An 18,390-nucleotide genomic window follows, 5' to 3' on the forward strand; every position below is an offset into this window, starting at 1 on the left:
ATACAGACTATTTTATGGTTTTTAGTTCATGTTATTTCATACATACATTTTAAAGTCTTATTAGTCTCCAAAACTATTACCTCTAATGAATGCATTAATCCATCATATTGATGTCTAAGTGAAGTTTTGAAACAACTACCCTCTAGGAAATGGAATCTCTCTCTTCTGGGTGTCCCATGTCTTCTAAGAATATTTTTGAGGTCAGGCTAATAAAAAACTAAGAAGTCAGCTAGAGAAGTTTACGGGTACCTATTCCTAGAGAATTTTGGGAGCAGAAGGAATCACCTGTGAGATGGCAGAGTAATGAAAAGACAAAGTTTTGGACTATTTGATTCTTTTATGCTTCTTTTTTTTCCTTTTTTTTTCTAAAGGTAAAATATTCCTTCCTGGAGGTTTTATCACCCACACTACATAGATGAAGAATAAAAGGAATGTGACTGAATTCATTTTAACAGGTCTTACACAGAACCCTAAAATGGAGAAAATCATGTTTGCAGTATTTTTGGTTCCTTACATGATAACACTTTCAGGCAACCTGCTCATTGTGGTTACAATTACCACCAGCCAGGCTCTGATCTCCCCCATGTACTTCTTCCTGACCCACCTTTCTTTGATAGACACAGTTTATTCTTCTTCTTCAGCTCCTAAGTTGATTGCCGATTCCCTTCATGAGAAGAAAATCATCTCCTTTAATGGGTGTATGGCTCAAGCCTATGCAGAACACATTTTTGGTGCTACTGAGATCATCCTGCTGACAGTGATGGCCTGTGACCACAATGTGGCCATCTGCAAACCTCTGCACTACACAACCATCATGAGCCAAAGCCTGTGCATTCTCCTAGCGGTAGTGGCCTGGATGGGAGGATTTCTCCATGCAACTATTCAGATTCTCTTTACAGTATGGCTGCCCTTCTGTGGCCCCAATGTAATAGACCACTTCATGTGTGACTTGTACCCTTTGTTAAAACTTGTTTGCCTGGACACTCACACCCTTGGTTTCTTTGTTGCTGCCAACAGTGGGTTCATCTGCCTATTAAACTTCCTTCTCTAGATGGTATCCTGTGTGATCATCTTGAGATCTTTAAAGAACTATAGCTTGGAGGGGAAGGGTAAAGCCCTCTCCACCTGTATTTCTCACATCATAGTAATTGTCTTATTCTTTGTGCCCTGTATATTTGTGTATCTGTGCCCAGTGACCACTCTGCACATTGAAAAAGCTGCTGCTGTATTTTATACTATGGTGGTCCCAATGTTAAATCCTTTGATCTACACACTCAGAAATGCTGAGTTAAAAAGTGTGATAAGGAAGCTTTGGAGAAAAAAAGTGATTTCAGATAATAATTAAATAAGACCATTGAGCACTCAACATAGAGGTAATAGGTATTTAAGCTTCTTGATTTGTAGATGAATATGTCAACTCTAACAAGGGGCTGGCTAATGCTTGCAGATAGTCAGTAAAGAATAAAGCTAAAGCTTGGACTGTAAAGCTTACTGTCTCTTATCCTACACTCTTGTCATCACCACTATTGTTTTTTAATTAATACATATTCATCAATTGCCTGGAAACTTGAAACGTCTCTAGATGCTAAAAAGTATAAATGTAGAATATTAGATTGATATTAAAATAATCTTATTATATAATATTAAGCAGTTGGTTACTGCTGATTATTGAAATTAACATGTTTAATGATATTTCTTTACTTTGGACTCTGGCTTAATATATACATACTTTCTTTTGTAAATTTTATTGGTCACTATATATTGGTCGTATTGTAAAAAGATGTACTGTTCATCTAATGCCTGCAAGGCTGCATTTTATTAAGTTTTTTCCATATTGTACCAGTTAGGGTTCAATCAGGAGACAGATCACACAGCTTCCCCGATTTGAGCAGTGAAAATTTACATAAAATTATTAATTATATCGAGGGATTAACTATAAAGAAGTAAAGAATGTCCTGTGACTGAGAGATGAGTAACTAAGAAAGGAACACATCTGGGAGCTGGGCTCCCTTCCCAAGGCTGAGATTCCAATATTTTGAAGAAAGTGTAGTTGTTGCCCATTGGATGATGGAGAAATTCACTGGGTAGTCTTGGGCCAGAACTAGTTCATGGTAGCCGGACAGAAGCTGCCCCACAAGAAACTTGTCTGGGACTGGCCAGCAGGGAGACTTTCACTGGGATACTGGTGGACTGAGGCTGGTAAATGAGGAACTGTAGCCTGGACTGGCAAGGAGGAAATAACCCTCTAGGGTGCAGGTGGACCAAGGCTACCCCATTATAGATAGGCAGTTTTGGAAAACTGATTGCTGGAGTATCTGTGTGATTTATTGGAATCTCCCTGCAGAGGCACCACTGAAACTCAATGGGAAATTTTCCGTAAAGTTGTCAGTGAACCTCAATGGAAGTGAGCACTTCTGAATATCTCTCCCTCCCCCAGCCAAACACATGTGCTGGAAGCTACATAGAGTAAGATGAAAACAGAAACATATTTAAATCAGGAAGAGATGTCCCTTTTGATTTCCTATACTGGCAAAACTTAGCATCAAAGAAGACTAGGTGCAGAGGATAAATTTCTACACGGCTTATTTTCATTAATATGCAGCAGGCAATGAAGGTTGTATTTGGAGCTGAGAGGCAATACATTGACAAATAGCACCCAAATTTTATCCTTAATTCTTGTAACACATTTTACAGGATATTGAAGTGCATATATATGGCATGATTTGATCAAACCTCAAGTTAGTGGCAGAATGAGATATAAATTGAGATATGGCTCCTTATTCTACACACTTTGTTGGTAGTAGGTAGCTGCAACTATTTTTTTACTGTAAAGTCTAAAAATGAAAATAACACAATTTATTAAAAGAATCTGTATAATCTCATGTTATAATTTCATTTAATTTTACTATTAGCTATGCACTGGTATCTGATTAATTCTTTCACTGAAGATATATAGACAGAAGATGAACAATTACTTGGAATTTTTTTTTTTTTTTTTGAGACAGAGTCTTATTCTGTCACCCAGGCTGGAGTGCAGTGGCACAATTTGGGCTCCTGGGTTAAAGAAATTCTCCTGCCTCAGCCTCCCGAGTAGCTGGAACTACAGGCATGTGCCACCATGCCTGGATAATTTTTATATTTTTAGTAGAGACGGGGGTTCGCCTTGTTGGCCATGTGGGTCTCGAACTCCCGACCTCAGGTGATCCATCCACCTCAGCCTCCCAAAGTGCTGGGATTAAAAAATGAGGCACATGCCTGGCTTATTTAAACTTTTAACTGAATTTTCATGATTTGGCAATTGTAATACACTTCAAAGCATGAAGGATCTAGTTTCTGCTCCTTTATCAAAAGGTATATGAAGGGTCACTAGGTGTTAGACTTTGGCACTAGAACGGGAACAGGAATGTGTAGAAAGGTAAAGTTATGAGAAAATCTGAAATATATAGCATCCAGGGACACAACCAGAATTGATATCCAAGGGTGACTGAAACTTAAGTCTGGCAGAAAGGCAAAATCACACATAAGTCATCAAGACAGGTAGCTGGCATGAAGATACCCAAGAAATTTTACAGTGGTGAGTAGAAGATGGATGCAGCAGAGATTCCTGGGGCACAATTCTAGAGTGTCTTTTTACTCATTCTAGAGTAGTGAAGAAATTAATAAAGATGACCAGACAGTCTAGATAGAAAGGTTGTCAGTGAAACTGGTAATGCTTGTTAAAACTTTCACAAGAGTTCCCCACTGAGCATGTACAGGCGGTCTTAGAGAGGATCATTAGGTAAACAGCCTTAATAAAGATGACTTATATGCACAGTGCACTTCATTGTTTATATTAGTTTAACTTTTTTCCACGCACTTCTATTTCCTACTATTACTCATGGAATAAAAAAGATTAAAAGCTGTTATCAGAGATATCTCATTCTCCATTCCCATTTGTACCCCTGAATCTGTGTTCCTCAGACCACCCTGCCTCAACCTCCAGCTCTACCTTCCACATCCAGCTCATTCCTGAATGATTTTATACTTCGACTTAGCATTAATAATTCCATCAACTGTCATAGATAAGCCAAACTTCACTTAACATATTATGGTTTTCATGAACAGTTTGGATTTAGGAAGATATTAATCACAAATATTAGTATCTTTTTCTTGGTATAATCCATTGTATATGTTTTTTAAATTTTTTTTCCATAAGGTATTGGGGTACAGGTGGTATTTGGTTACATGAGAAGGTTCTTTTTTTATTATACTTTAAGTTTTGGGGTACATGTGCACAACGTGCAGGTTCGTTACATATGTATACATGTGCCATGTTGGTGTGCTGCACCCGTTAACTCATCACTTAACATTAGGTATATGTCTTAATTCTATCCCTCTCCCCTAACCCCACCCCCAACAGGCCCCTGTGTGTGACGTTCCTCTTCCTTTGTCCATGTGTTCTCATGGTTCCATTCCCACCTATGAGTGAGAACATGCAGTGTGTGGTTTTTTGTCCTTGCGATAGGTTGCTGAGAATGATGGTTTCCAGTTTCATCCATGTCCCTACAAAGGACAAGAACTCATCCTTTTTTATGGCTGCATAGTATTCCATGGTCTATATGTGCCACATTTTCTTAATCCAGTCTATCATTGTTGGACATTTGGCTTGGTTCCAAGTCTTTGCTATTGTGAATAGTGCTGCAATAAACATACGTGTGCATGTGTCTTTATAGCAGCATAATTTATAGTCCTTTGGATATATACCCAGTAATGAGATGGCTGGGTCAAATGGTATTTCTAGTTCTAGATCCCTGAGGAATCGCCACACTGACTTCCACAATGGTTGAACTAGTTTACAGTCCCACCAACAGTATAAAAGTGTTCTCATTTCTCCACATCCTCTCCAGCACCTGTTGTTTCCTCACTTTTTAATGATGGCCATTCTAACTGGTGTGAGATGCTATCTCATTGCGGTTTTGATTTGCATTTCTCTGATGGCCAGTGATGATGAGCATTTTTTCATGTGTCTTTTGGCTGCATTAATGTCTTCTTTTGAGAAGTGTCTGTTCATATTCTTCACCCACTTTTTGTTGGGGTTGCTTGTTTTTTTCTTGTAAATTTGTTTTAGTTCATTATAGATTCTGGATATTAGCCTTTTGTCAGATGAGTAGATTGCAAAAATGTTCTCCCATTCTGTAGGTTGCCTGTTCACTCTGATAGTAGTTTCTTTTGCTGTGCAGAAGCTCTTTAGTTTAATTAGATCCCATTTGTCAATTTTGGCTTTTGGTGCCATTGCTTTTGGTGTTTAGACATGAAGTCCTTGCCCATGCCTATGTCCTGAATGGTATTGCCTAGGTTTTCTTCTAGGGTTTTGATGGTTTTAGGTCTAACATTTAAGTCTTTAATCCATCTTGAATTAATTTTTGTATAAGGTGTAAGGAAGGGATCCAGTTTCAGCCTTCTACATATGGCTAGCCAGTTTTCCCAGCACCATTCATTAAATAGGGAATCCTTTCCCCATTTCTTTTTTTTGTCCAGTTTGTCAAAGATCAGATGGTTGTAGATATGTGACATTATTTCTGAGGGTTCTGTTCTGTTCCATTGGTGGATATCTCTGTTTTGGTACCAGTACCATGCTGTTTTGGTTACTGTAGCCTTGTAGTATAGTTTGAAGTCAGGTAGTGTGATGCCTCCAGCTTTGTTCTTTTGGCTTAGGATTGACTTGGCAATGCGGGCTCTTTTTTGGTTCCATATTAAATTTAAGGTAGTTTTTTTCCAATTCTGTGAAGAAAGTCATTGGTAGCTTGATGGGGATGGCATTGAATGTATATACTACCTTAGGCAACATGGCCATTTTCATGATATTGATTCTTCTTACCCATGAGCATGGAATGTTCTTCCATTTGTCTATATTCTCTTTTATTTCATTGAGCAGTGGTTTGTAGTTCTCCTTGAAGAGGTCCTTCACATCCCTTGTAAGTTGGATTCCTAGGTATTTTATTCTCTTTGAAGCAATTGTGAATGGGAGTTCACTCATGATTTGGCTCTCTGTTTGTCTGTTGTTTGTGTATAAGAATGCCTGTGATTTTCGCACATTGATTTTGTATCCTGAGACTTTGCTGAAGTTGCCTATCAGGTTAAGGAGATTTTGGGCTGAGACGATGGGGTTTTCTAGATATACAATCATGTCATCTGCAAACAAGGACAATTTGACTTCCTCTTTTCCTAATTGAATACCCTTTATTTCCTTCTCCTGCCTGATCACCTTGGCCGGAACTTCCAACAGTATTTTGAATAGGAGTCGTAAGAGAGGGCATCCCTGTCTTGTGCCAGTTTTCAAAGGGAATGCTTCCAGTTTTTGCCCATTCAGTATAATATTGGCTGTGGGTTTGTCATAGATAGCTCTTATTATTTTGAGATACGTCCCGTCAATACCTAATTTATTGAGAGTTTTTAGCATGAAGGGTTGTTGAATTTTGTCAAAGGCCTTTTCTGGATCTATTGAGATAATCGTGTGGTTTTTGTCTTCGGTTCTGTTTATATGATAGATTACATTTATTGATTTGCATATGTTGAACCAGCCTTGCATCCCAGGGATGAAGCCCACTTAATCATTATGGATAAGCTTTTTGATGTGCTGCTGGATTCGGTTTGCCAGTATTTTATTGAGGATTTTAGCATTGATGTTCATCAGGAATATTGGTGTAAAATTCTCTTTTTTTGTTGTGTCTCTGCCAGGCTTTGTTATCAGGATGATGCAGGCCTCATAAAATGACTTAGGGAGGATTCCCTCTTTTTCTGTTGATTGGAATAGTTCCAGAAGGAGTGGTACCAGGTCCTCCTTGTATCTCTGGTAGAATTCGGCTGTGAATCCATCTGGTCCTGGACTTTTTTTGGTTGGTAAGCTATTAATTATTGCTTCAATTTCAGAGCCTGTTATTGGCCTATTCAGAGATTCAACTTCTTCCTGGTTTAGTTTTGGGAGGGTGTATGTATTGAGGAATTTATCCATTTCTTCTAGATTTTCTAGTTTATTTGCCTAGAGGTGTTTATAGTATTCTCTGATGGTAGTTTGTATTTCTGTGGGATTGGTGGTGATAACCCCTTTATCATTTTTTATTGCCTCTATTTGATTCTTCTCTCTTTTCTTCTTTATTAATCTTGCTAGTGGTCTATCAACTTTGTTGATCTTTTCAAAAAACCATCTCCTGGATTCATTGATTTTTTGAAGGTTTTTTTGTGTCTCTATTTCCTTCAGTTCTGCTCTGATCTTAGTTATTTCTTGCCTTCTGTTAGCTTTTGAATGTGTTTGCTCTTGCTTGTCTAGTTCTTTTAATTGTGATATTAGGGTGTCACTTTTATATATTTCCTGCTTTCTCTTGTGGGCATTTAGTTCTCTGCAGACTTAAATGTCCCTGTCTGACAGATTTGAAGGGAATAGTGATTCTCCCAGCACGCAGCTGGAGATCTGAGAATGGACAGACTGCCTCCTCAAGTTTTTTCCTGACCCCCGAGTAGCCTTACTGGGAGGTACCCCCCATTAGGGGAAGACTGACACCTCACATGCCTGGGTACTCCTCTGAGTAAGTTTTTTAGTGGAGTATTGTGAGATCCTGATGCACCAATCACCCAAGCAGTATACACTGCCCCGTATTTGCTGTTATTTATCCCTCAAACCCCTCCCAATCTTCTCCCCAAGTCCCCAAAGTCTTTTGTATGATTCTTATGTCTTTCTGTCCTCATAGCTTAGCTCCCACATATCAGTGAGAATATACAATGTTTGGTTCTCCATTCCTGAGTTACTTCACTTAGAATAATAAGACAAATATTAGCATCTTTAAAATAAAAAATCAACTATGTATTATTAAATAATTATATCACATCATTTAATTTCTAATAAATATTTCTTAGCTTTAATGAGGTAATACTGACTAACAAAAATGCATATATTTAAGGTATGCAATGTAATGTTTTGATATATGTATATATGGTAAAATGATTACCACAATCAAGCTAGTTGTCATAGCTCTCACCTCACATAGGTACTATTATTTTTGTAAGATTTAAGATCTATTCTCCCAGTAAATTTCAAGTATACATTACATTATTATTAAGTATAATCACCGGGCTGTTCATTTGATCTTCAGGACTTTATTCACTTTGTTTAACTGAAATGTTGTACTTTCAGACCTACATCTCCACATTATGCCTCCCCCAACCCCTGTCAACCACAATTCTGCCTCTGTGCCTTGCCTCCAGGGCTTGTTTCTGAGGATAGGTCCTAGGATCACCTATGTGAGTAATATTTAATACTACATTAAGACTTGAACATCGTTCAACATATTCAAAATCTCATTAATCTTCTCTGTCTTCCTTCCATCCAGTGATCTAAGCCAGGGCCCAAGTTTCATCTGTGACTTCTCTCTCTCTCATCTTCATCCTATATCAAGTTCTTTTGTTTAGAATTCAAAAATATTCTTCAAAAGTTTCTATATCTCTCCAGGTTAGTTTGATTTCCCTAGGTTCAGAGGATGATATGAGAATTTTAATAAACGTGATTTATAAGGGGAAAAGATTGAAGGAAACATACTATAGTAGGGAAGGAAGGATGTAGTCTCAACTAGTCTGCCTCTAGCCTGGAGCCCCGGGAGCTCTGAGGTATACACTGTGCTACAGAACTGCTTCCACCTTGAGACAAAGGAACTAACCTCTTAAACCCTATTCCAGGCAATCATTTCTGGTGGGCCCTGGGAGAGGGAACAAAATACCCCAAGTGACGCCCCTCCCATTTTATCTGGTGCAATTGACCAGAAAAGGACAGGGCTGTGAGCTATTAGCAGCCCAGACACACAGTAGTTGGGGCATATGTGCACTGGCCTGGTAAAGGGGATTTGAGCTGGGCATAATAGTGTCCACCATATTCTGCTTCCTAACTGACAACACCAGGGCTGAGATCTCCAGCCTTTCACACTGAAATAATTACAATAAACCCCTAGGTGGTCTCCTGCCTCCAGTCTTGATCCTTCAATCCATTTTACATACTGTAGTTGGGATTATCATTAAAAAATTAAAATCTAGCTGTATCACTCTCTATCTTAAATATACCTTCCCTGTTTCTCCCATGGTCCTTAGCATTAAGTCTTAACACAACTATAAGACCCTTCTTGATATTCTCTTTCCCTATCTCTCTAGCTTCATGTCTTACAATTTACAAGACTTTATAAGCTCAGTGTCTCTCATGTTGCCTGGCACACAAGTTGGGGGTTCAGTAAATAATTGCTGAGTGAATGAGTGAATTAATGATCATGGCCATATTGCACTGATTAGGTTTCCTGCATACTCTTTTCACCTTCTGGGCCTTTGTTATGTATTCTCTCTCCTACAAGCACTGCTCTCAGCTTCATGCCTATGCATTCTGCTGACTTTTCTTTTCTTTTCTTTCCTTCTTTCTTTATTTTACTTTTTTGACATAGTCTCGCACTGTCATCCAGGCTGGAGTGCAATGGCGTGATCTCAGCTCACTGCAACCTCTGCCTCCCAGGTTCAAACGATTCTCCTGCCTCAACCTCCCAAGTAGCTGGGATTACAGGTGCCTGCCACCACACTGAGTTAATTTTTGTATTTTTAGTAGACCCCTCAGGTCTATGTCTTTTCTCCTTTGCTAGCCTCTCAGTGAATCCTCAGCTCTGTGAAGGCAACACCTGGGTTTCTCTTTATTCACCACTAATGCCCCAGCAATTTTCAATGTACCTGATGCATTCCTTGGTCTCTAAATACTTGTTAACCAATGAATAAGAAATAGAAAGAATGAATGAAGTATATTTATTCCGAAATGGCTTTGGATACATACACAGCTATATAGTCTTCAAAACAGCTTTTTTCTTGTGAGGTGCTGTGGGAGTGGGGCCTGCAGACCGAGGTGGCTTGGCTTCCTGGATTCATCCCCCTTCCTAGGGGTACTTATGGACTTCCCGCCCTGCCTGAGTTGCAGACAAGTTTGTTGGGGATCCTTGGGCCCGAGTTTGTAAAGCTCCTGGGTCTCTGTGTGTGTCTGAGCAGCTGCTCTGTGGAGACTACACAGCTGTGTGTATCGGACCCAAGGCCCTGGTAGCCTGGGCTCACGAGGGGATTTCCTGATCCACGGGTTACAAAGATCCATGGGAAAATCATGGTTTTCTGGGGTTGCACATTCCCTTACTGCATCGTGGGGGTTCCCTTGGCTCCCTGCTGCTCCTGGGTGAGCCATACCGCTGTGCTGCTTTTCTTCATTCTCTGTGGGTGGAGTTGTTTCCCTGATCTGTCCCAAATGTGAGTACCTGGATCTTTCAGTTGAAGATGCTGTATCACTTGTCCTTTTCTTTCCTCTCCGTGAGTGCCACGGATCTCAGCTGCTTCTAATCGGCAATCTTGGCCCCCTCCCAAAAACAGCTTTTAATAATAAAATGTTACCAAAAAGTAAACTGATTGACAGAGGAATAGAAAATAAATAGCTCATAATCATAAGATAAAATGTTGCTGAAAGCAGAAAAATTTCAAGATTAGCTATTTGTTCATATGCTAGGAATTTGCTTCTATTTCTTCTGTATTCTTCAGCGTAAGGAGTAAAAACAAACTGTGTTCCCCCAAGAGGTCCAGCTAGAATTCTCCTTAGTGCCTGAATCAGATAAGAAAACAATTCCTATCATCAGTACTATTTTTTTTTTAGCTCTAAATTTTGTTGAATTCATTTACCTTCCTTAATAATTCTATTAAATCATTCGAGGTTTATCACGTACCAGACATTGTGCTACCTTGTGGCAATTATTGTTATCTAGTAGGCAAGTACTTTATGGGCCATGATTGTATATTTAACTAATAGAAATTTCAGCCTGAAATTCAAATGCTCTTTCAATGAAGCCATCACCCTTTCTGATGGGTTTTCAGCATAATATGGGTGACTTGAGCAATACAAAATCGTTCAGAAGCCTACACTGACATTTGGAAACATGATATAAACTTCATTACCTACCCATGAGAGGTTATGGCCTATTGTTATTACAGTCTTAAAGTGGTTAGATACCATAATGTTTCAGAAAACAAATGACCATCAATAATGATAAATAAAAAAGCAGAGTTGTTAATAAAATTTCTTATATTTTTAGTTAGATAACAAACTAATATATGCATTGTGCCTAGCATAGTCTGTGGTCCCAAAATGGTAAGTAGTATAATTAACTGACATTTTCATTATCACTCTGTGGCAGAATATCATAGCAGTTAAGAGTATGGTCTGGAAAATCAGTTATAGTTTGGTTACTAGCTCATCAACATATCTATTTTGATATCTTCTCCTTCCTGTAAGCTTCCTAACTTGTAAAATGAAGATAATAGTAGTGCTTACCTCTTTGAAGTGTTACAGATATTACCGCTAGATACCAATATATGCTATTATTTCTTTTATTTGTGAGAGGAAAGCCTATGAATCCATATACAGGATGAAACTAGTAAAACTAAGCCCCAACTTGGTAGAATTTCCCAAATATGCAGAGTTGTCCTCGGTTGTTTTCTCTCTTTCCTTGAACCATTTCTATACCCCTCAATGCAGAATCTATGAATCATATGGTGAATGTTTTCTTCATCCAATCAATTTGCCCCACTGCAATTATCCAAAATGTCCTTCTGACTTTTTCTTTTTTTTTTATTATACTTTAAGTTTTAGGGTACATATGCACAACACGCAGGTTAGTTACATATGTATACATGTGCCATGTTGGTGTGCTGCACCCATTAACTTGTCATTTAACATTAGGTATATCTCCTAATGCTATCCCTCCCCCCTCCCCCACCCCACAACAGGCCCCAGTGTGTGATGTTCCCCTTCCTGTGTCCATGTGTTCTCATTGTTCTATTCCAAACTATGAGTGAGAACATGCGGTGTTTGGTTTTTTGTTCTTGTGATAGTTAGCTGAGAATGATGATTTCCAGCTTCATCCATGTCCCTAAAAGGACATGACTAAATTGAATCAATGTTGAGCTCTAGTTACATTTATTTGTCACCTGAAATGTCCTTTCTACTACACAATTTCCTGATGGCATTTTTCATCTGGGCATTCTTCAAGGTATAGATTAAGGGGTTTAACATAGGAGTTATCATAGTGTAGAATATAGCAACTGCTTTATCAATAGGTAAAGTAGCTGCAGGTCTCATGTACACAAATATGCAGGGCACAAAGAATAAGATGACAACCGTGATGTGGGAGACACAGGTGGAGAGGGCTTTGTGCCTTGCCTCCAAGCTATGAGTCCTTAGGGAGCACAAGATGACCACATAGGAGACCAGCAGGAGGGCAAAGTTTAACAAGCAGATGAATCCACTGTTGGCAGCAATGAAGAGTTCCAGCATATGGGTGTCAGTGCAGGCGAGGTTGAGCAAAGGGTTCAGATCACACATAAAGTGATCTATGACATTAGGACCACAGAAAGGTAATTGGAAGATGAAGAGGATCTGTATGGTTGCATGAAGAAAGCCTCCCATCCACACCACTCCCATTAGCAGGGCACACACACACTGGTTCATGATAGTCATATAGTGCAAGGGCTTGCAGATGGCCACATAGTGGTCATAGGCCATCACAGTAAGTAGGATGCCCTCTGCACCTCCGAAGAAATGTTCTCCAAAGACTTGAGTCATGCATCCATTGAATAGGATGGCCTTCTTTCCATAGAGTGAATGTGTGATCAGGTTAGGGGTATTGACAGAGGAATAGCAGGCATCAATAAAGGAGAGATAGGCCAGGGAAAGGTACATGGGGGACCCCAGTGATGGGCTGGCAGTGATGGTGACCACAATGAGCACATATCCCACCACAGTGATGATATAGATGACAAAAAACACAACAAATATGATTTTCTGCATCTTTGGATTCTCTGTAAGCCCCAGCAAAACAAACTCTGTCATGTTATTCCTATTCTCCATGTATTTCTCATGATGATTAATTGCATTACCTGTAAAAATTTTTTATTAATACAACTTTGAATTTATTACATATCTCCATTTTAATAATAAATGCTTGAATTTTATTAAACTGTAAATTCCTATAAGGTTTTTCTTGAGATGTTAATAAAGTTTCTCAGTTCTTGAAGATTACTTGGTGAAGACTCTGTGAAGAGTATCGACATTAGAAACTCTTGTGAACAAAGTCAGGATGTCATGTGTGTATACTCAATCATCTGGGAGGCCTAAGAGCTCAATTTGAAGTAGTAGATTGGATACACGGTAGCAGCTAAACCTGAAAAGGGAGATTGACAATGAATTTAAAGGCCATGGTGTAAAGCTAAGGAATTTGCCATTTATTCTTTAGGAAATGGGGAACATTGGTAGGTTACTGTCAATATGAGTGGGAAGATGAAGAGGAATTTGAGGAGTAGGAATCTTGGAGTATCCCACTAGTACAAGTCTTTGTATGTCTTGGATGAAGTGGGCTGAGGTTCTGCAAAGCAGGTGTTAGCCAGAGAAAGGAACCCCAGTGGGCAGAATATTTAGAGTACTTGACATAAGAAGTAACTGGGTGGCTGGGCCGGTGGCTCACACCTGTAATCCCAGCACTTTAGGAGGCCTAGGCGGGTGGATTACGAGGTCAGGAAATCGAGACCATCCTGGCCAACATGGTGAAACCCCATCTCTACTAAAATACAAAAAGTTAACCAGGCGTGATGGTGCTTGCCTGTATTCCCAGCTATTTGGGAGGCTCAGGCAGGGGAATTACTTGAACTCAGGAGGCAGAAATTACAGTGAGGCCAAGATCACACCACTGCACTCCAGCCTGGGTGACAGAGAGTGACAGAGAGAGACAGAAAGAAGTATAAAAAAAGGATATAAGAGCTACTAAAATAATTCATAATGCTTATTGTCTAAATCTAATTAACTTTATAATAACTAATATTATATGCCCTTTAATAATTAATTGTCTTGCAAAAGCCATAGTAGTAAGTGCTTTGCACACATGATTCCAGTGAACACTTATAACATCCTAGGTGACCAGTATTATTTCATCAAATTTTCAGATAAGGCAGCAATATTAGTGATTAATGTTAATAGTTATGTTAACACAATGATATTTATATTATACAATAATGTAATATTATTTATATTAACATTATAACACTCATAATATTGATAATATTAACTAAAACATACTGAGCACTAGTGTCTTCTAAATGTTTTTTTGCAGGCAATCACAAAATAAACCCAGAAAATAGTACTATCATTTTTATACTTATTTTACATATTAGGAAGTAGAAGCATAGGGAAGTTGAAGATCCCATCCAAGATCAAGCAGTTTAATAAAGGACAGAGTCAAGATTAGTCACATTATACTAGTTAATTTTTTCTCTCCAAATTCTGAGCTCATGCCCTATGTTGTTATGTTATAATAAACAATGTTGAACTAATAATCTCCTTTTGATATGACCATTATGATTATACTTACTTTAATACTACTTCAGAGGCAATTTGTATGGAGCAATTTCATTAGCCGTATCCCCCCTCCCCACCCACAACACAGTGACATCTTTGAGTTCAAATATTAAGAAAAATGTGGTATTGAATCATTGAAGGTACATCTATCTTAGCTTCTCCCCTAGTCCCAGCTCTTTCCTCAACACCCCCACCCCACCAAGTCGTGGGCCCCCAGACTCTTGAACAAAATGTTGAAAATGACTACTGGCCGGGCGTGGTGGCTCACGCCTATAAGTCCAGCACTTTGGGAGGCCGAGGCGGGAGGATAACGAGGTCAGGAGATCGAGACAACCCTGGCTAACATGGTGAAACTCGGTCTCTACTAAAAATACAAAAAATTAGCCTGGTGTGGTGGCAGGTGCCTGTAGTCCCAGCTATTCGGGAGGCTGAGGCAGGAGAATGGCGTGAACCCAGGAGGCGGAGATTGCAGTGAGCCAAGATCATGCCACTGCACTCCAGCCTGGGCGACAGAGTGAAACTCTGTCTCAAAAAAAAAAAAAAAGCAACAAAAAATTAGCTGTGCATGGTGGCGGGCACTTGTGGTCCCAGCTACTTGGGAGGCTGAGGTAGGAGAATGGCATGAACTCGGGAGGCAGAGCTTGCAGTGAGCCGAGATCAGGCCACTGCACTCCAGCCTGGGCAACAGAGCGAGAGTCCGTCTCAGAAAAAAAAAAAAAAAGAAAAAGAAAAGAAAATAACTACTACAGTGGCCAAGTATATTAGATTTAGAATTAAAAATATATGTGATTAGAATCATTGTTTTTCCACCTGCAACTTTTTTAAGCCAGGGCATGTTTCTTGCCACCTTTCATCTTTGTTTCCTCATCTATAAAGTGAGAATAACAATATCATCTTACAGGCTGTTATGAGAATTGATTGAGGGAACATATAAGAAAATGTTTACCACAGTGCTGTGGATGCACATAGGACTTTCTTTACTTTTACAGGTGTGTACACAGCTAAGGGATCATAAGAAGTGATCATTAGAGCAATAAACAGAGCATCATTGACCATGCAATAACCTCAGGAAGAATAATCTCCAACATTACTCTTGAAGAAGCCACAGTGACTCATACTGTCCATAGCTGTTGATCCCAGGAAGGGGTCTTCATGTTAGTGCTTGGACTAAACAGCTGATGATTTATGCAATTTAGTATTCATATTTATGTCCTTTGTGTATACGATATGTATTTTAATTTTGTTTTAATCTTTTTTTTTTTTGTTTTGAGAATCTGGCTGTATTTTACTAAACCAGACACTGGCAAAAATTTAAAACAATGCCACTTTTCTCACTAACTAGTTTTTTGTTTTGGAAATGCTGTTACTTTTCATAATGCTATTTAGGTAATATTTCATGTGCTTATTGTTATTATTATTATTTTTTATTATTATACTTTAAGTTTTAGGGTACATGTGCACAATGTGCAGGTTAGTTATATATTTAATCTTTATGGCTAGTCTGATTATCATGGCAGAAGCATGGTACCCGGTGTCAGAGAGCTGGGTCCTACAAATTGCTGAATTTCTAAGAAACTCAAAATTTTCAACTGTCAAATAGGTTAATTATATTTACTATCTTTTGAAACATTGGGATGAGGATGAAAGACTCTATATACTATGTTTGAGGTGTTGAAAAATAATGATTACTGACTACTTAAATTAACTATCTTTAAGAAGCATCGGTACTATTAGAAAACTTACCTTAGTAGTCTTAGTTAGATAATCTTGATGTTTGGGAGTGTTCAGACACAATCTTCTTCAAACTGATCTTCTTTTGGAATTAGTAAGTTTTGGTGTGAAAGATTTAACACATGGAAAGAGCCTATTCAGATGATTCAATGTTAAATCACAGTTGTTAAAAAACTGTACACATTAAATGTGTAGTTTTTTGGTATATCAGTTATAATTCAATAAAGAAAGTGTTCTTATGACTATAAATCTTTTTATCTGGCCTAAGTCTCAAAAATTTTCACAGAAAACCTGGGACTTGAATTAAAATCAATTCACTGGAAACACCATGAAGAATTGATTACATATGGCTCTGGTTCCACAGTGCAAGAGGCAGAAGGTGTGGAGGAAACAGTTATAAATGGATCACTTTGCCCATGATTAATCTTGCTGTGGATGAGTGAACAAGAAAAACACTTCTGTCTTGCACTGCATGAATATTTAAAGAGGTTTCTGTAAAGATTCAGGGATCTTATTTTATAGCTGCTGCTTTCTCTCCTAGGAATTAATTATCTCCTTTGATGGAAAAACTTTGCCACAGAAGCAGTATTCTGGAGAGACATGTTTGGAAAAAAAAAACAAACAATTCCTGAATAAGGAATTTCATTCTTTACACTTGGAATCTAATCCTTTGAGTCCTCTTTCTCTATCTGAGCCTGTGTTGTTAAGAATGCTGAATTCTGTTTGAGTAGCAAGGTAGCGTAACTTGTGTGAGGACCTGTGATGTAGTTTCTCTGTTGATTCATGTCACAGGAATTTTCTTTTTTAAAAAAATCAACATTACGCCTTTTTCTGGAAACCTGCTAATGGTTCCTTGAGGTCTAGAGCAGTGAGGGCATGAAACTAATTGTGACCATTTAATTAATTTTAATTTTTAAATTTAAAAATATTTAATTGACAAAGATTTTATATATCCAAGGTGGATAAAATGTTGATTTGATCGAGACGTACATTGTGTAATAGTTATTACAGAAAATTAACACATACATTACTAATCATGCTGTGCATGAGATCCTCAGAACCTGTTCATCTTATAGATGAAAGATTGTTCTCTTTGATAAATATATTCCCATATCCCTCATTCCCCAGGCCCTGGCAACCGTCATTCTACCATCATTCTCTCTGTTTCTATGAGTATGACTCTTTAGATTCTGCATATAAGTGAGATTATACAGCGTTTGACTTTCTGTGTCTGGCTTATTTCACTTAGCATAGTGTCCTCTAGGTTTTTCCACATTGTCACAAATGGCAGGATTTCCTTAAGGTCAAAACAAATTCTTGTAGAAATTTTATAGATTTAGCATGTGGATCTCTAACTCATTTTAAGGTCATTTTTGTGTGTGTGTGCATTATATGAGGTAATGGCTGAAGTTTTTTTTTTTTTCTTATGGGTATCCAATTGACTCAGCATAATTTGTTGAAAAATATTGAGTTGCCTTGGCATTCTTTTAAAAATTTATATATTTGGATGTATTTTTGGACATTCTGTTATATTTTAGTGAGCTATATTTTTATCCTTAAGCCAATACCAAACAGTATTGATACTGGTACATTATACTAAATCTTGAAATTAGGTAGAGTAAGAACTAATCTTTCTTCTTTTTGATAATTATTTGCTATTCTAGTTCCTTTTAAGTTCGCACATTTGCATATAAATTTCAGGATAAGCTTGTCAACATCTCCAAAAATTATGATTGGAATTGCATTGAAAATATAGAATGATATGGTAAAATAATTATTGTTTTCTATTTATTAATATGGTATATCCCTCCATTTATTTATGTATTTAATTTCTCTGACCAGTGTGTTCTACTTTTCATATACAGGTTTTGAATTGATTGTTATAATTTACTCCTCAAATTTCATGTTTTAAATAATGTTTTATATAGTATTTTGTTTCTAATTTCCATTTCTAATTGTTTGTTGCTATTGTAGAAATACAATTGATTTTTAAAATATTGACATTACATCCTGTTACTTTGCTAAACTTACTGATTAGGCCTATTAGTTTTTTGCAGAATACTTTAAATTTTCTACCTACATAATTATGTCATCTGCAAATAAACGTATTTTTATAATTTTGTTTCTTCCTTTGCAAGCTGTGTGTCTTTTATTTCCTTTTCTTATATTTTTGCAATGGCTGAAACCTAGGGTATATTGCTAGACCTAGGTTTCATAGCTGAATG

General features: G+C 37.9%; 1 protein-coding gene and 1 pseudogene across 1 annotated transcript; one reads left to right on the forward strand and one right to left on the reverse strand.

The window, feature by feature from the left end:
- Positions 416-1,342, forward strand: OR4C50P (olfactory receptor family 4 subfamily C member 50 pseudogene; annotated as a pseudogene).
- OR4C46 (olfactory receptor family 4 subfamily C member 46) lies at positions 12,005-12,934 on the reverse strand. The gene has a single exon (NM_001004703.1). It carries the CDS (start codon positions 12,932-12,934, stop codon positions 12,005-12,007), a length of 930 nt encoding a protein of 309 aa, NP_001004703.1.
- Between the last annotated feature and the right edge of the window lie 5,456 nt (positions 12,935-18,390).

Source organism: Homo sapiens, chromosome 11 (genome assembly GCF_000001405.40).
Source record: "Homo sapiens chromosome 11, GRCh38.p14 Primary Assembly".
NCBI classification, from domain to species: Eukaryota; Metazoa; Chordata; class Mammalia; order Primates; family Hominidae; genus Homo; species Homo sapiens.

Excerpts from the sequence above, each read along its gene's own strand:
- OR4C46 (NM_001004703.1), bottom strand. The coding sequence starts at position 12,934 with ATGGAGAATAGGAATAACATGACAGAGTTTGTTTTGCTGGGGCTTACA.